We start from the raw sequence: 26,015 nt of genomic DNA, 5'->3' as shown, positions 1-26,015 counted from the left end.
ATTATTTATTTATTTCGGTACCAACGAATCTATTTTTCACTCAATGGAGATTTTCCATTTTTGGCCCACAGCAATATCCGGAGAGAGAGAGAGAGATTCCTGTAGAATACAAGACAAGACTATCACAATGGTGAGTAATAAAAAGATAAAATCAAACATATCTTCCTCTGTTGAGTGTGGGGAAACATTGGCAAGGTTGATACAAGCTTAACTATAGACGCTTTGAAAGCATCCACCGATGTTTAACACGTGAAGGGAAAATACTGCTGCAAGCTCCAATTCTAAGCTGCAGTGGATGAATGAGCTAAGAGAGGTGGAGAATGGAGAAAAGAGAATGTGTTCTCCTCTCCATAATTAAAAGTGAAAGGAGCTTGTGGGTAAGAAAGATGGGGCAGAATGGAGCCATCCATCTGGGTAGCCTCTCTTCCCGCATTCCCTTTTAACCAGGGCTGAGTATGTGATTGCTGCTGAGGACAAGCAGTGGATAAAAACCAAGTAGGTGAAATGCCTTGCATTGCACATTCAAGGCAGGTCCCCAGTGGCTAAAAGGCTGGCATGGAGCTGGACCAGAAAATGTAAATGCGTTCAGTTCATAGGCACGCAAACTCAAGTTCTTAGAGTATAGCAAAACTCCCAAGGCCTCTCCAGAAGCTGGGGGAAGATTTGAGTTAATCTACTTCAATTTTATTTTATTCTGAGGGTTTTTTTAAATTTTTTGTTTTTAGATGCTTTTTATTTTTCCTTGTAGAGAAACCCTTGTTGTATCAAATGCCCTCTCTGGGCTTTAGAACTTCATTAATTAGCATCTTTTAAATGGTTGGGTAATATTCTTTTCTCCCTTTTCCAAGCCATTTCCCCAAGCCTTAATTTTAATAAAGCTGGTGTTCATGAACATTTGAATTTTAAAGCCCTTGGTTATAAGAAAGACAGAAGATGCATTTTAAAAGAAAGCCAATCAAGGATGACTCAAATGATGAACAGGACTTCTCTGCTTTTATGAGTCTACTTTTCAAGATCCAATATTATCTTAAGATACTTTTTTTTATTTTTTTCCCCTGTAGATAGAGAGCAACCTAAAAAAAATATGCAGACTTGATTAGCGGGGCAGAGACACTGGGGAGGAGTTACTCTGGCATATTTTAGTGTGGGTGGCAATTTCATTTAAAATAGAGCAATAATAAACCTGTTTTTATTTTTTTCATAGAAGCACTACATTTCAAGCAGTAAAGGTGAACCATTTAAGAGCTTTTTAAAAAGAGAACACATGACTAAAACTCTTTAAGATCCCAAATTGTTCATAGAATTTATGCAGCGATGAATACATTTGCCAGTGTAGACTGTTAAAGGCAGAATGCTTGGAAATCGACTCCACGGTTACCCACCTGCCTGGTGCAAGGTTGTGCGTTTCCCCAGCAACTGGGATAACATCATAACCGCTTACAGTGCTGCAGAGCCTGCAGCCCCCTGGGCGGCTTCAGGTGGTAGTGATGCTATCAGCTGTTGCCAGGGCAACGAAAAACCTTGACCTTCTGAGACCTGCCAGGCAAGGAGTGGAGAAATACAGATTTTGAGTCCTGTCTGGAGGTCTGCTGGTGATTAAAGGAATATAATTATGTAGCTATCTGCCACTAAATTACTTATTAAATTCACATACACATACAAATCAATGCATAATACCTAAATAATGCATACATGCTTGCAAGCAGTCTCCATTTAGTAGGTAGAGGGTGCTTCCATATTTGGAAGTGGTAAATGTTTTTATACCTTCCATGGAATCTACCGGTTGGCATTTGGTGGTAAGATATTTCCCCCAGTCTTCCCAACCTCATCAACTACTCAGGATTTTTACCTCCTGATTCCAGAACCTGGAAGAAGTATTGAAGAGGTAAATCTGCAGTTACTCTTAAAATGTTTTACATGTCAGAGAGATGAGGTCCCAGAGCAGTGAGGTGATTTGCCTTAGATCATACAGATTTAGGGAAAGAGAAATAGGCTTGTGCTTCTCTTGTGTGTGTCCCTTTTCATCCTAACTTACACTGGCTGCCTGCATATATATATATATATATATATATATAATATGTGTATATATATATGTGTGTATATATATATGTGTGTATATATATATGTGTGTATATATATATGTGTGTATATATATATGTGTATATATATATGTGTGTGTGTATATATATATATATATATATATATATATATATAATGAATATCTTTCAGTTTTTCGTTCTGCAAAGTATTTCCTCGGCTTCTGAAGCACCATCTTTTCTGACATCTTTCTACACTATTATTGACCGAATCCCCATTGTCTTCTATCTTGAGTGTTTTTGGAAGGGAATGCAGGAGGTATCTGTCTATGTACCTATTGGCTTATGATGACCTCAAGTACCTCTACTTTAGAGCTAAAGGAAGTACAATCCAATCTTTCTTCAAAGTTTATTATCCTCCCTGTCATCCTGGAAATTACCCCTGCTTACTTCCTGAAGAGTAGTTTCAGCACCTTTGGTATCCTGAATATTGGGGAACCAATGGGGGACTCATTTAAACCATGTCAGTGTTCTGAGTTTTATTGATCACTGTATACTCCCTTCTCTCCAAATGTAGAGTGTTTTGATGGTGTTCAATTACCATTTCTCATTCACTCAGTTTAGTTTTATGCTTACAACACCTTAATGTATTGTGAGAAGAAAAGGATTCTGAAAAGCTCACCTTTCTGGAAAAATAAACATTGGCCCTACTTATTAATTTTTGTAGTAGCTCTATCTTGGTGCTGGTACAACAGGCTCGGTGATTGCCTAGGAGAGAGGACTGTGATATAATTCTAGATGCAAATAATAAAGCCATATTTCACCTAGCAACGATATAATGGGGGACGGTCAGACCATTAGTGGGCATCAAGACAGAATAAACTATGCTTCCAGTGTACTTACTCCATGAGGAAAGACCCTTTTCATGATTCCGTTCCTCGTGAAAGAGAGTAAATCTGTTTTTCTTCCCTTCTGGTAATTGCATTTTTAGACACAATTGCCGGCATCCCACAGGTGGGGATATTGGATTCCACTGAGGATTTGATGTAGTAACTCAGCTCTTGGCTTTTTTTGTGGTGCTAAATGCCATTTTGCTGAGTAATCAGCATGTTTTCCGAGTGAATGTGGTGCGCCATCTGCAATCTGTTTACTTAACTTCATGAGCTCCATTTCTTCAAAGGTGAAGAGCAGAGCTTTTAAACAGAAATTTGAAATGGGTTCTTAACAGAACCTTGCTTGTTACTTACAGAGTCAGAGACTATTAAAATACAAAGAACTTGAAAAAAAGAAGAATTCAGTTACTTTGGATCACTGATCATCATCCCTGAATTGATGTAATTTGTTTAAATTGCTGAGCGGAACCCAGAGTTCTGGGTTTCGCATTCAGCTTGTAACTACTTTTATTTTTGTAGCACTTAGGCTCTCTCTAAAGCTACTGTTTACCTTTCTAAGTTGCATTCAGGAAAGCCTGATAGATAAAAATCCAAATTTGCAAAACAGATCAATTAGTGGACCAGTATTCCAACCACAGAGAAAATTCACAGCGTGGCTCGTTAAATAAAATCATGCTTCACTGGTGAGTTTGAAATAGAATTTGATTTCCCCCATTGTATAGGTGAAGAAACTGAGATTAGAACTGTCTCCCAAATATAAAAATTTGGTTCACACACAACCTTTGAGGAATATATCTATTATGTAAAAGATGATATGCTTGCATGCAGAGAATGATGTCAGTGACACAAATTCTCAGTGGGAAAACTGTCATAAGATTTGAGATTCTGCTGTAAAATCCCTGAGTCTTCCAAAGTTCTTGTTATAAGTGAAACAAACCTTTCACTTATCTCTGGAGATTGTCTCCCGTTTCTCTATGTACCACCAAACTGAGAAAAGCTGAACTGCCATCTTCTGGAAACATCTCAGCATTCATCCACAAGCGTGTACCTAGCCAAGTCAGTAAAGCTAAGAGAGAAGAAGCAGGGGAATAATTATATTTTATATGTAAACCATTGTTTTCTTGCTCACTTTACCCAAAGTGACCTTGTGTATAATGTGACCCCACCTCTTGGCCACAGCAAATTAGCCTAGAGGTGAACCCCACTCCAGTCAAACCTATTGCATTCTCCGTCCATCAAATTGGAATTAAATGACATAGACAGGAAGTCAGTCTAGTGGTTGTGGGTGCTAGAATCAAAGGGTCATGTAACCTTTGGGCTGGAGGATACCGTCAGTTATATGAACAGTAATAATAAAACAGAGAAAGCTAAAAGTTATAGAAAGAAGAGATGCTCAAAACGATGCAGCATCTGGAATCCATGTGGCTAGGAGAGTTCTGCTTGAAAAGTTTTCAGTAGCTGTAAGATCCTGATTCTACTTCCTCACCTTTATTTTAGTATGCATATCTTTATATGAACTTTTTCTGGAGCTAGTTCTGAATGAGTTTGGTCTCTTTTGCAACTTCAGGAGCCCCCAGCATCCTGTTCTTTGTGAAACAGCCTTCCGTACAATGCTTAGTTTCATCAGTGAGCTATTTTGAATGTGATTAATAAATTCAAAGATTGCACTATCAATTATTTTCAACTAGGATCTCCTGATCCCTAGACATTTGTCCATTTCAGGATTCTCCCAAACCATGGCTTAGGGTTCACCTTATTCTTTCCCACATTTTTCTGCAAATATCTGGGGCTGCTATTCTCCCAAGCCCATTGTACTCATACTTTCTGTATCTGTAAATATTATTTCTTTTACCGTCCATTGGTCTAGATGCAAAAGTCAGCCCTTTAAACTTTCCAAAGATAATACACTCGCAAAGTCCTTCAAAAGCATATTACTCAACACTTTGGGTCATAGGGAGGGTTTCTGTTATGTAATGTGCAGCAAAACATAACAAACAACAACTCCCAAATCTCTAAAAACATCTTGGATATCACTATTCTCTGAGCTCCCTTTTCAGACACTGCCACCAGGATTGTACCTTTTAAAATATTTTTTCCCATACTACTTCCATCTTGATATTCTTCTCTGCTTTCTCTCTCCTGTTTCTCTCTCATATAACCTCTCTTTTGTCATCTGGCCTTTTCCTCCTCAAAGAAACATAGAAATCCTTCTTCATTTTTAAGGCAGATGAGATGCTTTCCTCTCTCAGAAAACTTGGCAATAGCCAGGGCCTAAGCCTTGGCAAACACAACTTCTCACCAGGATTTAATAGGTATTTTCTCAAAGCCTGTGTCCTCTGTAAGTAGAATTCTAGTTCCAGCTGCCAAGGTAGCCATGAGAGTGATAGTAGTAGTCATAGTCATTCTCTCTCAATACTCTGATACATCAATTCACATCATGTGGACTTTATACCATCAATGATTTTCAATCAGTCCTTCATTATGGAGCTGCCTCATGGGCCTCTATCTGGCAGAGAGAGAGTGACTGAGCTGGGGAGGATCCTGGTCCCTTAAGATCCACCAAATCCAGAGCCTCACAGAGTGCCTCTGCTTCACACAATAGAGTTGTATGAAAGAATATATTTGAAGAGAAAGGTCACACTGCTAAAAATAGCTTATAACCTCCTGAAAAAAGACATGAGATGCCACTGAAGAATTTTAAGCAGGGCAGTGACAAGATTTAACTCACTGTGGTGGGACCGAGAGGAGAGGCCCTGGGGTTAGGGTATCCAGTTAGGGAATTCACACTGGGGCCTAGCAAGATGGTGAGAGCCTGAATCAAGGGGATAGCTGTTGGAACGGAGAGGAAAAGTCACTGGACTTGGTGGCCAATATGACTTTAGGATTTAAGCAAGAGGAAGGCATCCTGTATCTACAATATTTCTAACCTTGTGACAAGGTGAATCTTGGTGCCACTACTGAAAGGAGGGAGTAAGGTAGGAGAGCTTGATTTTGGAGGGTAGGTGGGGATGTAGGTTTGACCCTGTATATTTTGAAATCATTGTGCTTTCTGAATCTGCATCTAAAAATGGGTAGCAGCCAGGTGTACACATGAACCTGTTGCTCAAGAGAGAGTTTAGATTGGAGCTACTGATTTGGGAATCATTCATGATACAGGGTCACTTCAAGGCATGGAGTGAGAAAGATTAGGAATGAGAAGAGAGGACTTTTAAGCATGAGAAATGGGGAACATGCACATTGAATGCCAAGAAAGAAGCAGAGGGGCCTGAGAGGGATGGGACAGAGAGGCAATAAAAGAAACCAAAGGGTAAGTTATAGAAGCTAAGGGAAGAGAAAGTTGGAGTGGGGAGCTTGGTCAAATATTAACATGAAATCATGCAAGTTGTAGCCTGGCAAGTGTCTTTGTATTTGGCACTTAGAATGTTGATAAGATCTAAGAAGGCTATGGCTGCAGAAACCAGGTATTGGAGTGTAACTAGGAAATGACAAACAGAGGAAGCAAAGGAGAGGGAAGGATGGCAGAATGGGAGTTTGAGGACAATTACAGGCAAAGAGGAAGAAGCCAAGGGATAAGAGATAACAAAAGTCAAAGAAAGAGCGGACCTAATAGATAGACAAGTGACTCAAAAGAAGTTAGAATGACTGGGATTATGAACACCAGGGGAGGTGCTCACCACGGAGAAGGGACACCCCTTCAAGAACATCAAAATAGATAAAGACACATTGGAAGACTCTTTGAAATTTTTACAGTGTGTTTTTTTCATTTTAAATTTATAAAGTGCTTCTATGGGTTGAATGTTTGTGTCCCTCCCATCACCCAACTTCCACAATTCATATGTTGAGTCCTAATCCCCAGCGTGATGGTATTAAGAGGTGGAGGCTTTGGGAGATGATTAGGTCATAAGAGTGCTGCCCACATGAAAGGAATTAATGCTCTTATAAAAACAGCTTTCAGTGAGCTTGTTTGCTCTTTCTGCCATATAAGGTTACAGCTAGAAGGCACCATGTTCACAGCAGAGGGTGAGTCCTCACCACACAATGAATCTGCTGGTGCCTTGTTCTTGGACTTCCCGGCTACCAGAACTGTGAGCAATAAATTTATGTTGTTTGTAAATTACCCAGTCTATGATATTTTTGTTACAGCATCCCAAATACACTAAGACAAGTGCTTTGTGTAATTTCATTTGTAAAAGCCCCTACAGCCCTGAGATTCATGCCATAATTGTGTAAAAGGAGAAACTGAGGGAGAGAACCATGATATCCGACACCTAATCATCATATTGCAAATGGATGCTTCAGAATGCATGGTGATATTTCATTCAAACAGCCAAGGCAATCTTAATGGCATCAGCCTAGTGACTGAAAGGAGCTGAATGGTTATCAGACAGCTTAGCGCCTGGCTGGCCTCATGACAGAAATAACTGAATTGACTGAAAAAATATTCAGATTGTTGGAGTCATTCAGATAGTCTCAGACTGTAACTCAATTGGAACAAATGAAGACCAGTAAAGTTTGCATCTTTGCATTAACACAGAAGCAGCCAGCTGAAAAGTTTAAAATAAAATAAAATGTAAAAAATTAAACTGTTTATGTGATACATAAAATTCTATGAAAGTAGGTCTGATATTTGGTTTTCACTGAATTAAAAGAACAAGCCAGTTGTTTAGGTACTGTGTAGAAATAGCCAAAACCAAATGTACACCAGGGCTATTTATCTTCACTACCCACGATGTAAAAAATCAATATCACTCAGAAATGGTTATTCTCTTTTGTTGGGGAAATGGAGTGTAAGGGTATGGGAGAAGTTTATTGGATGGAGAAGGATTCTGTGATGGTATGGTCATAATGGAGTTTAAGCTTAATTATGACAGTAGCACACTCATGAGAGTTTTAATTCCACATAGGTAGTTTACTGAAGACAGCTGTCAGGTGACTAATGGAGGTTTGGCTATGACTTCATAATCCACACAGCTAGGCTTTTGCCCTAGGTATACAAACTGGCTGACATTAGCAGGCTTTCTCACTTGATAATCTTCTTTTATAACCAAAACTGATCAGTTTATTAAAAGAGTTAAGCACAGCAACAGCAAAGAGCCCTAAGTGTTTAAAGAATATAAATACAGAAAGTAAGACTTTAAAGATTCAGGCAGATTCAATTGGATTTTTTTTTAAGTTTGCTTTAGTTTTTATAAATACTCAACTGGAATGAGTATTTTATAAATACTAGACTGAAATCTATAAGCTAATAATTCTTTTCAGGGAAATACTGATTAGAGATGATCATTCAGGGTGCACTTTAAGTCTACCAATACCTTCTTACTTGTAGCTCAATCCCGATAAATGTCAATTAAGGGTCCAGTTGCCTTTCCATGCCTCCTAACCAGAGGATCTTGGAGCAGCATGTTCTGACCAACTCTTGAAAATAAAAGTTTCTATCCTCCTAGGAAAATTTGCTCTGTCATCAAGGCAAAAATAACTATAAGAGCTGGTCTTAAATATGCTTCATTGATCAGTGACAACTAGCTCAAGTAATCCAACTTCTGAAGGGTAAGCCCATCAGTGACAACACCATGTTTCTGAAATCAGTCAATTGGCAACGTCCTCATTCTAGTGACTGCCTTTCTGAAAGTCAGCCAATCAGAACCAGCCTCACTTGAGTGCCTAAACTTCTGCAGCTAAAGTTCAAGCAATCCCTACACACTAATTGCTTGTTAAAGTCCCCCAGTCCAGAAACTCCATACTTTCCCCAATCCTATATGGACTCAGCTCTCTGCTTTGCTCCCCAAGACTGCACCTTATACACACAGCTTTCTCTTGAAATAATAATTTGGCTTTTTGTTTCAGATAAGGGTGGATTAGGCATAGCTATCCCTGAGAGCTGCATGCTGATGCACTTGTGGGTGACAGAATTTTCAGTTGGTACTTTTCTCAATGGACTTCTATAAGACTGGCCTTTCCATCTGATCTGCCTTAGTTTCTTCATTCTTCTCACTCCCAGTGTACTACCAATTTATCTTGGACCATAGAGCATTTTGATAAGAATAAAAAAGCATCTGAGCTGGTATTGGTGCAGGAGAGAGAGAGCATCTTTGTAAAATTACTGTAGTAAAAAAGTGCAGTTAGACTGGGTCAACCATTATATCACCATGGGAACTAATTCTAATCTCATTGTGACTCTGTTTCCCCATTAATAAAATGCTAATTATTGAAGCTACTTTCTTGTTCAAGGTGAAATTAATTTAAGATATGCAAAGCGTGTCATTTAGTGCTTGGAATATAAACTATTTTAAATAATGAATGTTCTATTTCTTCTAGGAATCTAACAAATCCTGATGGTTTGGCTCTCTCTCTCTCTCTTTAGTATTTATGCTTTCAGAGGTATTTTCAGTTTCTGAGACAGTGAGTCTTGACTGCAGCTGCATACTTCAAATACTTCATAAACTAGGAACAACAGCAGCAAAAGTTTAAAAATAACACATACTGGTGAGGTTGTGGAAAAAAAGGGAACACTTTTATACTGCTAGTGAGAAGGTAAATGAGTTCAGCCATTGTGCAAAGCAATTTGACTATTTCTCAAAGAACTCAAAACAGAACTACCAATTGACCCAGCAGCCCCATTACTGGGTATATATCCAAAGTGATAGAAATCATTCTACCGTAAAGACACATGCATGTTTATGTTTATTGTAGCACTATTCACAGTAGTGAAGACATGGAATCAACTTAAATGCCCATCAGTGGTAGACTAGATAAAGGAAATGTGGTATGTATATACCATGGAATACTACACAGCCATAAAAAAGAATGAGATCATGTCTTTTGCAGTAACATGGATGGATCTAGAGGCTATTAAGTGAACTAACACAGGGCAGAAAACCAAATACTACATGTTCTCACTTATAAGTGGATGTATTAGTCTGTTCTCATGCTGCTAATACAGATATACCCAAGACCGGGTAATTTATAAAGGAAAGAGGTTTAATTGGCTCACAGTTCAGCATAACTGGGGAGGCCTCAGGAAACTTACAATCATGGTGGAAGGGAAAGCAAACACGTCTTTCTTCACATGGTGGCAGCAAGGAGAACTGTAGAGGGAAGTAGGGGAAATGCCCCTTTTAAAACCATCAGATATCATGAGAATTCACTCACTGTCATGAGAACAGCATGGAGGTAACTGCTTCCATGATTCATTTACCTTTCACTGTGTTCCCCTCCATGACATGTGGGGATTATAGGAACCACAATTCAAGATGAGATTTAGGTGGGGACACAGCCAAACCATTTCATTCCTGTATTAGTCTGTTCTCACGCTGCTGTGAAAAAATACCTGAGACTGGGTAATTTATAAAGGAAAGAGGTTTTATTGACTCACAGTTCTGCAGGGCTGGGGAGGCCTCAGGCAACTTACAATCATGGCAGAAGAGGAAGCAAACATGTCCTTCTTCACATAGTGGCAGCAAGAAGTGCAGAGTGAAGGGGAAGAAAACCCCTTGTAAAACCATCAGATCTCAGGAGAACTCACTTACTATCATGAGAACAACATGGAGGTAATAGTCCCCATGATTCAATTACCTCCCACCGACTCCCTCCCATGACATGTGGGGATAATGGGAACTACAATTCAAGATGAGAATTTGGGTGGGATCACAGCTAAACACATATAAGTGGGAACTAAAGATTGAGTGCACATGGACACAAAGAAGGGAACAGCAGACACTGGGACCTACTTGCGGGTGGAGAGTGGGAGGAGGGTGAGGATCGAAAAACTACCTATTGGGTATTATGCTTATTATCTACGTGACAAAATCACCAGTACACCAAACCCCTGTGACATGCAATTTCCCTGTATAATAAACATGCACATGTGCCCCTAAACCTAAAATAAAAAGTAAAATAGTGAGGGTTCTATTTCATCGAAGACTGTCAAATCCCCCCCTTTTTTTTTTTATTCTTTAGTAGTTTAGCCTTTAGTACTTTCACTTGTAGAGGAGTTTTTAGTCTATGGGACAGTGAATCTTGACTGCGCAGCTACACACTTGAAATATTTCTTAAACTGTAAACAACAGCAGCAACGGCAGCAATAAAAACCCAGTGATTCATATGTAGTAGATCTGGAGTGGGGCTTAAGCATCTACATTTTCAAATCCTATGTGAGTGATTCTCATATGTATCCAAGATTAAGGAAAGAGGAGTCCCGTTTCAAGGCTCAGAGGTAAAAAGAAGATCATCCTGTGTTTTCCCAATTGTCTGATGCTATTCACTGGGGCAGGAGCAGTGAGCTGTAGTGAGAAATACATGGCTAAGGAGGTAGGGATTGGAGCAAATGCTCTTTCCATGCTCTTTCCTGTGCCTATAGCATAATATTTGTCATGTGGAAGGTTTAAATAATTAATGCTTAAAGTTCAGAAATAAAACATCTGTTGTTTTGTTTTGTTTTGTTTTGTTTTTATGAATCCCTTCAGACTATAAACACTGAGAACTACTGGTCTAGACCTCTCTCCTAAGATTGAGACCTGTGAGGCCCTTCCATGTAGACATATTGTGGACTCAGCCCAACTCCAGGCTTCTGCAACCAGACTGCTTGGTTTAGAATCTGGCTCTATGCCTGACCAACTGTGTGTCTTCAGTTATTTTTCCCCCATCTCATAGTGGCAGTGGGAAAATCCCATGAGATTAATATTTGGAAACACATAAGTGACCAACAAAGAGATAAACCTCAATAAATGTGGTTATGATTATATTAGTTATCCAATTTATTAATCTTTCCCCCATACCCACTTTCCTCAGTTATACCCTGTGTAGTGAATGGTAGAACCAGCCCTGATTGCTCAAGTGGAACACCTGGGGGCAGCCTTTGACATCTCCCTCTAATCTATCCTCTATGTCTAGTGCACTTTCTGACACTGTCGGAAATGACGATGTTTTTTCTTACCATCACTCAGTTCAGGCCATGTTTGACTTTGTCCAGGACTCCTACAACAGATCCCTCTTGGGTCTCCCGACTCTAGTCTTACGTAAAACTGCACACTCAGTGTGCAGCTTGCCTCCAGACTCAGCTTTCCAAACTGCAGAGAAAATTATGTCATTGCCTTGCTTGAAACCCTCAGTGACTTCCAATTGTTCTTGGGATACTGTGAAAACCTCCTCATACATTGAACAAGGTCTTGCTTCTTTGGCCTTTGTTAACCTCTTCAAGTCTCAGCTCTTTGACACCCTCCTTGCACAATATGCTGCATCAGTTTGGACCTCCCTTCTGTGCTGTAGCTGTGCCAAACTTCTCTGAACATCCCCCAGTGTCATTGTCTCCATCTGGAGCACTTTCACTGTGAATGCAGAATGAAGCATATGAGATGCAGGAGGATTGGAACCCAAAGGAGATGTTGATTATTTCAAGAGCCCTCCTGTTCTAAATTCTCACATTCTATATTAAAAATACTTGCCTCCTGGGTTGGTGATGATGATGATAATGATTGGTGGTTTCTATCCACCCTTTAATTTCGTCAGCAAGCTCCAGCTGCTAACTCAGAGTCTCTCAAAATAATTTAATGTTCTGTTCCAGTGCTCAAGGAAATTATTGTAACATTCTCACTCAGTACCTTCTTGATCTCTTGTTTGGATTCCATTTCTAATCACCAGTTGGCCTCTGTAAAGCCTTCTTTTATTCTTGCTTCTCACTTCTGGATTTGATAGATTTTTGTTACCCTTTTGCTTAAACTTCAGCTTTTCACAGTGGACTTTGGGTTGCTAGATTGTCCTTGGCAACTGGAGTTGTATTCAGCAGGAATCCTCTATTCCTAACCCAGTCCTGTAAAACCCAACCCAGAGCCAATCTCTGGCCAGAACTCCAGGATCTGCTTTGACTGCCCTTGGAATTAAAAAAGTAAGACATTAATCATTGGACTGCTAGGCAATTCTTTCAGAATGATAATCTATAATTAGTAGGCTCAAAATTGAACTTGATTTTCTTAACAGTAAAGTAGAAAATGCCCAGGTTTTAAGATTTTAACTGTGTGTGTGTGTGTGTGTGTAAACATCTAAATGAGAAGAACAAGAAATACAAACCTAATTGTAGCACTAATAATGAAGGAAATCTTGCCAGACAAATTTTAACTTCATTATTGGCTTTAATTAGCAAATGAGTGGACAAATAGAATACAGTGAATGTCCCTGGTCTTGACTTGATTAACACATTGCACAGAGCACTTCACAAAACGATAGCCCATCAGGGCATTTAAATTGTCTTAGAAGTGAACATTTGCAGCAGTGGAGAACTGGCTGGCTGCATGCAGAGGGAACGTACTAGAAATGACAGGCTTTTGGGAATATGTTGACATGGACCCTGTCTTATTCAGCATCTTTCGTAATGATGTGGAAGGGGAAGCACACAGTGTATTAATTAAATTTGACAAGGATGCTGATTTGGTTAACAGAGTGAACCTAGAGGGTTTACAACATGGTAAGAAAATAGGAAGAAGAAAATACAGTTTGGAAAAATGCAAATAGTGCATTCTGGGAGAATTAAGCCATTAGAAAAATATTCAGGGATCCTGATACGATAACTGGGGCACATTTAAGGAAATAGAGATGGAAAGGCCACACTTGTTTTCCTTCCCCAAGTGGGGCATGCCGCATCACTTCTTATACATCCCCTAAGGCTAAATAAAATCTGTACCACTGATAAGGCTTCAGCAAGAGAATTTTTTTTTTTTACTGAGATTAAGATATTGGGAGTTGATGGTTTCTATACATTTTACTTAAATGGTTCTTTATCTCAGCTATATCTCACTACCATTGTAGTTTTTAATCACTTGCCAACCTTCTGTATAATGGCTTCCTCTTATGGGCAGAGGGCATCTCTTTGGGGTCAGATACCCTTTTCATCTCTATTCTGCCAGGGTTTTTCATTAGGGTTTGGGGCTGCCTGCAGATAGGGATTAATTTCTACTTTGTCAACTATATTAAAATGACTTGTTAAAATAGTCAAAACTTTGCATTTGTTTTTCCTAATGGTATTCAGTTTCCTGGCTGCTCGCAGTGACCTTTCAAAGCCTGTTTATCCTGAGAATGTATGTCATAATTAATTTTGATTTATTCCTTTCCTTTGCACACCATTTAGAAAACATGTAATTGCTTTCTCAGTCTGTTCTTTCCTGCAACTCCATAGATTCCATAGATCTATTTTTGACCCAGGCTTTATCAGCCCTTACTTAGTCTGTTGGCTAGATCACATGTGTAACTATGTTAAAAATGGTTTGGTTCTAATATTAGGTTTTATGTTTTGTCAGTTACATGACGATGACCTTAAGGAATGAAGGATGCTCTATCCTGCTGAGTGATTTATCCTCAAGTGAGTATGAGAGAGTGACCCATAGGGTAGAGTAAGTGGTCTCTACTGAGAAAACAACCATTTCTACTGTTCATGCTTCCTGGCCATGAGTAGATGGTCGGTCACCCACAATAAATACGTTGCTTAGTGTTATAAGGTTCTCTTCTATAGGGTCCTGTAGGCCATTTTCAATTGCCTACTGTTAAGAGTGTTCTTCCCACCCTATAATTCTAAATGTAGAGTCATTTCCCTCAGCTGCATGAAGGAGTTTGGAAACAGGTAAGAGGGAGACTTCAAGCCCCTCAAATGTGCCTTGGAGCACTACCAAATGGCAGTATTTTGTCATTTAGCCCAGCGTCTTCCCTCAGTCCTTCAGGTGGCCTCCTAAGAGGTACTTAGAGGTGTGTCAGATATGGCCTCATATGCCATTTGCATTCTATGTCTCCTTTAAATTCTGCATGTGTGGGAAAAAATAAGTATCTCAGGTCTTTTGATCTAAAAACAAATTCGACCAAACCACAAAATTAGTGGTTGGCCTGGCACAGTGGCTTGAATCTGTAGTTGCAGCTACTTGGGAGGCTAAGATTGAAGGATTGCTTGAGGCCAGAAATTTGAGACTATAGTGTGCTGTGATCATGCCTATGAGTAGCTACTGAACTCTAGCCTGGACACTATAGTGAGACCCGTAACTCCAAAGAAAATTTTTTAAAACTTAGCACTTGGCTGGGCGCGGTGGCTCATGCCTGTAATCCCAGCACTTTGGGAGGCCAAGGCAGGTAGATCATTTGAGGTCAAGAGTTCGTGAGCAGCCTGGCTAACACGGTGAAACCCCATTTCTATTAAAAATACAAAAATTAGCTCAGCATGGTGGCATGCACCTATAATCCCAGGTACTTGGGAGGCTGAGGCACAAGAATTGCTTGAACCCAGAAGGCAGAGGTTGCAGTGAGCCAAGATCAAGCCACTGCACTCCAGCCTGGGTGATAGAGCGAGAGCGAGACTCCATCTCAAAAAAAACAAAAAACAAAAAAACGGCACTTGACTCATTGACTTAGTACAAATATGCTAATTTTATAAGTATTGGACTTTCAGCAACTTTCCTGATTTTTTCAAGTCCTTAATTTATCTGCCTAATAAACACAATAATTCTTGCTATGTAATGTTATTGCGAGGACTGAATGAAACAATAAGTTAAGCTCCTTGGTGCAGAAAGGTCCCTGCTATCAGAGTGCTATCAGTTGCCATTCACTTTCTCTGATCCTCATTTAATCTCATTTGCAAAAAAGCAAATTAGATTTGAAATAGCTTCTTGTTATTTGATGCCTGTTAGCATTTTGGTGAGAATTCAATGACCATGGAGGCAAAAGCAATTGGCAAATATAGAGCCATACTGTAGAAGTCTCAGGTGATCAGTTATTTTTGCTGGGTTCAAGGTGATTTTGTTATGTACCTGGAATTCACTTGGTCCGGATTGACTTAAAAAAAAAAAAGTCATAAACTAAGTAAAAAGTAAGAATGAACCAAACTGTATTTTTCCATTCCTTTAAACCTTTATTGCTTACATTTAAAGTTGAGAACCAGAATAGTTCCCCTGTCACCTAGGATGGGGTTGGCAATCATTTCCTTTGAAAATACAGAAGACATTTATGCAGCCAAAAAACACATGAAAAAATGCTCACCATCACTGGCCATCAGAGAAATGCAAATCAAAACCACAGTGAGATACCATCTCACACCAGTTAGAATGGCAATCATTAAAAAGTCAGGAAACAACAGGTGCTGGAGAGGATGTGGAGAAATAGGAACACTTTTACACTGTTGGTGGGACTGTAAACTAGTTCAAACCTTGTGGAAGTCAGTGTGGCGATTCCTCAGGGATCTAGAACTAGAAATACCATTGGACCCAGCCATCCCATTACTGGGTATATACCCAAAGGATTATAAATCATGCTGCTATAAAGACACATGCACATATATGTTTATTGTGGCACTATTCACAATAGCAAAGACTTGGAACCAAGCCAAATGTCCAGCAATGATAGACTGGATTAAGAAAATGTGGCACATATACACCATGGAATACTATGCAGCCATAAAAAATGATGAGTTCATGTCCTTTGTAGGGACATGGATGAAATTGGAAATCATCATTCTCAGTAAACTATCGCAAGAACAAAAAACCAAACACCGCATATTCTCACTCATAGGTGGGAATTGAACAAGGAGAACACATGGACACAGGAAGGGGAACATCACACTCTGGGGACTGTTGTGGGGTGGGGGGAGGGGGGAGGGATAGCTTTGGGACATATACCTAATGGAAATGACGAGTTAGTGGGTGCAGCACACCAGCATGGCACATGTATACATATGTAACTAACCTGCACATTGTGCACATGTACCCTAAAACTCAAAGTATAATAATAATAATAAAAAAAGAAAAGATAATACAGTTAGAAGATACCATAGGCCTGTAGGTCGTATGGTCTTAGTTGCAACTTTTCCACTCTACCATTATAGTGCAAACACTGCTATAGACAACACCCAAGCAGGAGTGTTTTCCAATACAATTTTACTTACAAAATCAGGTGGTGAGCTGGTTTGTCGTGTAGGTCATAGTCTCTGGATACCAATTGTACAATAATACAGACATGATGATGTTCTAAAAAATATTAAAATGCTTTTGAGCAAATCTAAAGAGCGATGGGTTCTCCCCACCACCTGACCCCAGGGATGAAGAACTCTAGCAAGGACCTAGTTGGAAAGCTATGTAAATTATTTCAGTAGTGTAAATAAATGGGCAAATTAAATTACTTAGACTACAAACCATCTGGTTGAATTTTTGGTTTGTCTATTTACAGTAATCATATTAAATGGATTATCATCTCAGACCAACTTCCCAGAGGTTTTTAGATAAAATCCTGAGTGGATAAATTATCCTTGAAGGACAAATCATCATCTTCAGCTTTTTCTTTTTTTATGGAAAGAGCCCACTTTAGAAAGTTTGAGAACATCTAGAACAAAGCAATGGGAATCATTAAAGCTCTGAAAAAAATTGTGAAGAGTACTCACAGTAATTATGGTTATTCAGCATGAAAAAGAGAAAATGAAGTCTTAAAACATGATGAGTTATTATATAGGCCTAATGTCTTCCAAGACCCCTTCTCTGAGTGTCACCTCCTAACCCCCACATTCTTCTTTTTCTTTTTTTTCCTTTCCCAATCCACTTTTAGAAGGGTTCTACTGAATTTAATGGGACAGAGGCTGTGTAAGTGACCATAAGAAAATATTTTTATTCTTTAGAAAAATCATTAGATAGTAGCAATCACCCAGAAAAAAAATCATTTTATTCTACAAGTGAGGAAACTGAGTCCCATACAAGTTTTACAACTTTTCAAAAGCACCCAGTTATCTGGTGACAGAACTGGATCCAGAAATTGAGAAGCCCAATTCCAAAGCCAGTGGCCTCTGTGATGTGACTCAGCAACTCCCCAAATCTTTATATTAATGAATGATTTGCAACTTACAGAGTATTCTATTTGGTGTTCTTCTTGATTCTCACCTCAGTTCTGTAAGGTAGGTGGCCTTGCGTGCTGAGTTTTAATCAATGTTTTACCACTAACTAGCTTTAAAAGGCAAAATTTAACCTCTCAGAACTTCCATTTCCATTACTGAACACAGTAATACTTATCCTGTTACAAGAAACAGAAGCAACAAGGCATGCAAACATACTGTATGAAACTAGAAAGTGCTGTTCAAAGCAGGATTATTATTTCTGTTTTACAGAAAATTCTGAGACTCAGAGAAATGTAGTGAACTTGTCCAGGGTTGGGAGGATAAAAGTGATGTCCTGTGAACCTGTCTCTAGCTGCCCTCCTTCTTTGTCCAGTGCTCTTTCCACTCTAATCATGTTACCTCCTCCTGCGAGCAGGTCTGAGACATAAATGTAGAGGGCAAGGTTGATGAACTGCAGGCTGCTGGATGTGAAATACCCCTGATCTGGGCTCTGTGTTCCCTGGTTCATGTAGACTCTTGCCTCACACTGTATCTGTTCATCTGTGTACTCATTTATCTAAAGGAAGAAAAGAGAAAGAGTGAAAAGAAAGGAAAGGAAGCAAGAAAGGAGAAGGAAGGAGAGAAAGAAATACCTATTTGAAGATTAATTTTACATATAGGACTCAGTTCTCTCAATAAATCTGCAGAGTTTAGTTGGAGGTACCTACCACCAAGGCCAGGTAACTCTTTGGTCACCACCACCTAGAAATGTACAGCTCCTACAAGAGGGAGTGCTGAGCAGAGCCATCAGCATCTCCATTTTCTTTCTCCATTTTCCTAAGGATATGTCAAAAACGCAGAGAGTACATGACAAACATCATTCGGGGCCTTGGATTGGACTTGTGGCTTATTGGAAAGACAACATGAGGGATTTGGAGTCATACAGGCCAGAAAAGTAATTACAGCTTTGTCATTGCCACCTGACATGAGACTTCAGATTCTGGCTCTGTGTAATGAGCGTGAGCACTTCACTGGATTATTTGGGGGTTAAATGAGATAACATCTGTAAATGGCAAGACACTGTGCCAGACACATCGTAAACATGAAAATAACACTGTTGAGGACTTGTTATGTGCTAGACATTATTTTAAGTGCTTCACATGATCAACAAATTAAACACACAAAAACACAAGAATTAGGTTAATATCATTCCCCTTTCACGATGGAGGAAACAGACACATAAAGAAGTTGGGTAAGTTGACAGCATCACTCAGTTTAGGAGTGTTGGAACCAAGATTTGATCCCAGGCAGTCTGACTCCAGATCCCTGGGGTTTTCTATAATTTTTATTTTTTATTGAGATATAATTGAAATTCAGTAAACTGACTCTTAAAAGTGTACAGTTTGATGAGTTTTCTGTTTTTTAAAAATTTTTAATTTTTGTGGGTACATAGTAGGTATATATATTTCTGGAGTACGTGAGCTGTTTTGGTACAGGCATGCAATGTGAAATAACCATGCCTTCCAGAATGAGTTATCCATCACCTCAAGCATTTATCCTTTGTGTTACAAACAATCCAATTTTAGTTATTTTTAAATGTACAATTAAGTTACTGTGGACTATAGTCACCTTATTATGCTATCAAATAGTAGGTCTTATTCATTCTTTCTGTTCTTTTTGTACTCATTAGCCATCCCAGCCCCTCACTACCCTTTCCAGGCACTGGTAACCATCCTTCTACTCTCTGTGTCCATGAGTTCAACTGTCTTGATTGATAGATCCCACAAATAGGTGAGAACATGTGATGTTTGTCTTTCTATGCCTGGCTTATTTCACTTAATGACCTCCAGTTCCATCCATGTTGTTGCAGATGATAGGAGATATCATTCTTTTTTATGGCTGAATACTACTCCATTGTCTATATGTACCACATTTTCCTTATCCGTTCATTTGACATACATACATACTTATGAGACCATCACCACAAATGAGATGAGGAATACATACCAACCATCCCCATGCTCCTTTGTCATCTCTTCTACTTGCCTATCCCAGAAAACCGCTAATCTACTTTCTGACTCTATAGACTCATTGACATTTTCTAGAATTTTATATAGATGGAATCATATGTTATGTACCTGTTTATCTGATTTCTTTCATTTAGCATAATTCCTTTAGGGTACATTCACAGTGTATCTGTAGTGTATTCTTTTTTTATTGTTTAGTAGTATTTCATCATATAGATACAACCACAATTGGTTTATCCATTCACCTGTTGATGGGCACATGGATGTTTCCAGCTTTTGGCTATTCTAATTAACCTGAATTAGAATATGTCATAAACATGAATATACACATATTTATACAGACTTTTGTTTTCCATGCTTTTAATCACAAAACTACTATAATGCCTGTCTCTGTTTGAAGTGGGTTCCACAAACCCTACGATAAGTAAAAAATGATGGCCTAGCATGACATTCTTTTCTTGAAATCATACATTATTTAAGAGAGAACCCTGTAGGTACATGGTCTTGTTTCTTTCCTGGAGTAATGGCAGAAGAGAAAGAGCCTCTTGCATACCCCATGCTCACATGTGGAAACCTTTCTGGGATAGTGGGAGAGAGTAAAAGGACAAAGGGGCTGAGTTACTGGAATTTGATTTGCTGGAAAGCAAAGCCCAACCTACCTGTCACAGTTTTTAACCTGATGTGTTTTCAGAGCAGTTATTGGTGGTGAATGACTGGTCCCAACCGCATTACCTGCCAAAAGTTAACGTGAAAGCTCCAACGACTTAGGCAGGAAATGAGATGCCTGGGTGTTCCCAGAGTCAGTGAGACAATTAATCTGATTTACATCCATTGCATTTCAGAGAACTAAAATTTCATCTGCTGCTTCTAAGCATTCATTTGGGGTGAACCCACATTACTCTAAGTGAAACCCCTCAGTCAAGCTGTTTATAAACTACACAGTGGCTAACAGGGAAGTAAAACCAATAGAAGAGCTCAGAAATCACAGATAATGCCAAGATGGGAGAATGAATTAGACAGGACTGCACATGTGTGGAATAAATAAATAGATCAATTGGGTTAAAACTCTGCCCAGCAGATAACACAGGGACTTCATAAGTTTCCAAGGCTGAAGTGATAAACTAAAAACTCCAGACAGTAGAAAGAGACAGGAGGTTGCTTCCCAATGCAGGAAATGAAATATTCCTGGAGATTAAAAGAAAAAACACTAGGGATCTTATGGCAGTTTTTTATATTTTGTTTTTTAAGTTGTCCTCTCCTGTAGGATTCACAGGCACTAATATGACACAGATAAGATGGAAGTGATGTCTAGAGGGCAGAGTAGAACATTAACTATGGCTACAAAAATCATATCTCATGGAAGGAATAAGAGACAACAGCCTGCAGAGAACTTGCCTGTGAGGAGCCTGCTGAGTTGATTCTAGGATTGAGCAGAGTTCTATGTTAGCAATTCTCATTGCTTAGGGGGCCAGTGATTCCAGGGGATCTTGAGACATTATTTCCACTCTTCTTGGCTTAGAAACTTTTCAAAATAAATAGGCAATTATTTCTTATTTTAGACTTATCTTGCAGTCTGCTTCCTAAGGCACTGCTAACTGTTGCCTATGGTGGTAACCACAGATGTCAAGTCAATTTGGAGAAAATTTGAATAGTTCTCAACAGTGATGAACCATTCTGACTGTGTTTGATTTTTCTTAAAAGCAATGATTTCAAATGATTGGTGACATTGATAGATGAAAAAGACCAAGATTTTAGTACTTACCTACAGATGTGGTTAGCAAATGGGAGTTATGGTCATGCCAAATTATGTCCGTGTTCTAGCTGACCTCTGGCTGACCTCCTTTTAGATAACCCTAAGTCACTCTAATTACAAAATATTTTATTTTAACAAACCTTTATTGAGAACCAGCTACGTGTAGGCAATGCAGAGATGGAAGGCACTGACACATGAATGGGGTCCAGGAATAGGTTCAATGTGAGTAACAGCCTAGTAGGAAGCAGAATTCGGTTCAACTGAAAGATTTCAATGAAGGGATGACGTGCAGAGGAATTGGCAGGGTAAGAGAGTAAATACAGATAGGGTGGCATCTAAAAACATAGCACAGCAGGTGGCCTCACAAAAGCTGTGGTCATGGAAGGACACAGCATCTGCCACAGATGCTCAGCTACAGAAGGAGCAGGGCAGGCATAGCCGAAGCACTTCCCCTCTACTTACGTCTTCTTTCACCCTTCAGTCTCTTGCTGATGCATCCCATTGGCCAAACTCAACTTGAAACCATCTGCAAGGTGTATGCAGGCAACGGCTTTCTTGGCCCCAGAGTGGGTCAGAGAAAGAAGAGACTTGGGATGTGAGAGGTGGAATAAGTACAGGAGAACCTCTTCAGTCTCCCCGTTTTGCCATTCAGCATCTTTTCTTGCTTTTTATTAAGTAAAGAAACAGTTGCCCCCAAAACAGAGGAGAGAAAAAGTCTCACCAGCTACCATATTTTCATAGGATGATGTCAGTTCCCTCACATATCTCCCTGAAACTTGATGGACACTTCTGGAATTTTTTATTTAAGGTAGGAAGAACAGATGGGAAGAGTCAAGTAACATGAAACGTGCATGGTTTCTATAGTTATCACTTCTATGGCTAGTCCCAAGACCTATGTTAATTATCGTAGCTTTCCTCTGACACCAGCCATTCCTTACCTTCATCCTCTGCCATCAGTTCAAAATTCTTTGCTTGGGAGAATGATCCATGACTTCATGATGGAAGGATCTAAGTTCTCAGTTGTTCAGGATTGATTAGGTTGCCTTAGTTTTCTATTTATTATTAAACTTTGATGTACCAACAGAGAGCCCAGTGAATCTCCTGGGTTCCAGACCTCGTTCTCTTTGCTCCTATTAAATAATTGTGTAGCTCTCATTGGGTTTCTTTTATTGGTTTTATACACCTGGAAGCCACCTGAAAGCAAGCTTAAGAGATACAGTCAACCTTTTGGATCACAGAACAGAGCACAGGAGGGAGGAAAATGCAGAATATCCAGAACAAATGACCTCAGTGCTGGGATAAGATTGGCCTGGGTCATGATTCTGCAAAGGAGTCTGAGCTTAGATCTGGTTAGAAAGTCAAAGGTTCTATCTGAAGCAGAATCGAGTGTCAATCTAGGCAAGGACACAAGGGTTCAATGACTTTCGCTCTGTTGTGCCCAAGCTGCTGACCCCCACCTGTCAGACCTTTATATCAAGTTACCATTGTCTCACAACAAACTCATCATCATAAAAATAGCTTTATTTCTTAGACACCAACTATAATGCTACATCCTTTAATAAACTGTAATGGGCATGTACTAAGTATTCACACTTTGCAAAAGGCTTTCACATACCTTCCTGTAAGTTAATGTTTCAAATAAATCTGTCTGTGATTGTTTGATCAGCTTTTTAGATAAGGAACTGAGACTTAGGGAAATTAACTTTCCCTAAAAGAGAAAGTGAGTAAAAGGCAAAGAGAAGATTCAAATCCAATCTGATGTAAAAATGTATGTTTTTATTGCCTACTTTATGCTGCCTCCTGTAACTTCACTACAATCCTGCAGGGGGATTATTATTTGCATTTTATGGGCAGGGAAACAGACGGAGAGAAGTCCAGTAACTTTCCTAAGTCGCATAGCTAGTTAGGAGAAGAGGCTGGGGACCCACCCTACTCCAAAATCCATGTTCTTTGCATTCTATATAAGTTTAGCTTACACTGAAGAGCAAGTTAACAGAGATGGGGAGAGAAGTGAGTGAAGAAGCATTTGGCAGGGGCCAGTGGCACAGTAATGACTACATGGCAATAGCTTTGTGGAAAGCAACAGTACACCCAGTAAGGTAGGGTGGAGCCAGTAACAGATCCGGAAGAAGGAGCAGATGAGCTTGGGATAAGGAAGAGAGGTGTGAGAAGGTTTTGCACCCAGCTGAAGGTCACATTTCATTTGCCATAAACATAGCCTTTCTCGAATTCTAAATTCAGTGGCAGATGTTTTTTCAATACAAAAAGAAAGAAACATACATAAAACAAATCTCTTTTTAATCTACGCGTTTGCCTCCACTCTCTCCACACATACAAAAAGAGAAATAGAGCAGTGCAGTTCCTGTTGGTGAGTTACCATGGAGACAGCTTCCACATGATCTCCAGCCATGACTCACCACTGCAGGAGTCTCCAAACTTAATTATTTATTAATAGGCTTTTACCAGGGCAGCCTCCAGAGGTGGAACATCTTGTTTCCAAGGCTGGGACAGCGGTGAGAAATGGAGGCAGAAAACACTCTGCAATTACAAAGAATTAATTAGAACCTCTGTAAACGCACTGACAAACATGCCTTAGGAGAAACTGTGGTGGGATTCGAGGGTACTCAGGTGTCCGGGGGAGAAAAAGCGAAAGTGAGCAGTGGGTCTCCAACAATTCTTTCTCCTGTGACACTGAAAGAGTCCCTTGTACTGTTCCTTCCATGAACTAGTTATTCAAGTTGGATTAGTGACCTACAAATTCCAGGAAAAAATAATTTACACTAAAAAATATAAATATATGTGTATTTATAAATATACACATATAAATATGTGTGTGTGTGTATATACATATATTTTCAGTCTTTGTGTACCTCCCAAAGATAAGATAATCAAATTGACATAGGTAAACTAATTAATAAATGAGGTGCTTAGAAATGACATCAGTTATATTAGAGCAAGGTCTTGCTGGGAAGCATAAGTGATTCCTGAGATACCTATTTACATGATTGCACATGATTTTTTTCCTTTACACTTAAACCTAGTGAATGCAAATGGAATGGAAAAGGCAGGAAGGTGGTTGATTAACCAGTTAGTTAATTTATTGGTTCATTCTTTCATCCATTCAACTACAGAGCTATTTATTCATTCTTCTGCGCTTACCAGGAATCACTGATTTGAATATCACATGGTGCTTGACCCATGGATGGCTCAGTCTAGTAAGAGACATGAGACATGTACATAGGTCACTAAATTCATGGTAAGTGATTATTAATTATCTTAGGAGATGGATAGGTGGAAGGGAATAACAAATGGAAAGATAAACTTGTCACAATAAAGTCATAGAATGAATAGTGACACTTTGTGCCTGAGATGAAATTCATCACCCACCGATGTTCCTTCCAACTCGTAAGATCTCTCTGAATCTATGTCAAGTAGGCAACTCATTTTGATGTTGGGTTATGTGAATAGCACACAAAATCTTATCTCGGTTCCATTGTTGAGTTTTCTTATATTTATTGCTGTGTGGCGTATCTATCTGCCATAACGAAACTGTCAAGGATCTGACTGGGATAATTCAGTCTGTCCTTTACTGAGGTTTAAACTTCCACTCCAAGTTAGGGCATAATTATTTGGCAATTCGTTTTCTTACATATTTGAGTATGAAAAGAGACGTTCAGAGCACTCCATAGCATTTTAGAGCTAGAAAAACGTTGTAGGTTATAAAATGAATAAAAGCTACTGTCTCTTGGTTATTATATGCCAGGCGCTTTTCTTATATTAGCTTTAATCCCTAAAACACTGCAGGGTAAGCATGACCAGTCAAAATTTTTCATCAATGAGGAATTTAGGCTTGGAAATATTAATTAACAGGTCCAATATTCCAGAGTTAGTTAGGAAAGCTAGTTTGTGTTGAACCCTAAAGCCAGCATTTGTTTGACTGGACACTGATCCAATCTAGCTTCAGTTCCCTAGTTTCACAGGGAAATTAAGACTCAGAAATTTGAGACACCCTCATAGTCATTCCTGTTTACAAGGTTTTAATTAACGAGAAACAATTTGCTGAATTGTTATTTTTGCTAAAATTAATAACCAACATCAAAATTAACAGTAAGCCTTTAATTCTCATTGAAGTCAGGAATGCTACACGGATTCATGCAATCACAACTATTATTTAACATTGATCCGAAACTTTAGTAATGGAAATGAGAGATGGGAAAATTAGGTAGAGTTACAAGAAATAGAGAGGAGGGAAAGTTCATAATTAATTCTTTGATGAAATCAAATGGAACAATTAAAAATTCTAATAAAGCAAATATTAGAATTTAAAACACTGATTGGTTTCAAATTATATGTCCAAAAGCAACAGCTATGAAAATACAAGGGACCCAGAATAGCCAAAACAATTTTGAAAAAGAAGAACAAAGTGAGAGGAGTCAAACTTCCTGACTTAAAAATTTACATAGTGTTAGTAAATGTGTACTGGCA

General features: G+C 39.1%; 1 long non-coding RNA gene across 1 annotated transcript in view; it reads left to right on the top strand.

The window, feature by feature from the left end:
- The window catches only part of LOC102724465 (uncharacterized), a 379,687-nt gene that overhangs the window by 201,978 nt on the left and 151,694 nt on the right, over positions 1-26,015 (top strand). The window contains exon 2 of the long non-coding RNA NR_187944.1: positions 72-130. This is a non-coding gene — a long non-coding RNA (uncharacterized LOC102724465). The remainder of the gene's footprint in view (positions 1-71; positions 131-26,015) is intronic.

This window comes from Homo sapiens, chromosome 15, assembly GCF_000001405.40.
Source record: "Homo sapiens chromosome 15, GRCh38.p14 Primary Assembly".
NCBI lineage: Eukaryota > Metazoa > Chordata > Mammalia > Primates > Hominidae > Homo > Homo sapiens.
The sequence above is the reverse complement of the archived record's forward strand: the minus strand, read 5'-3'. Positions and strand labels throughout refer to the sequence as shown.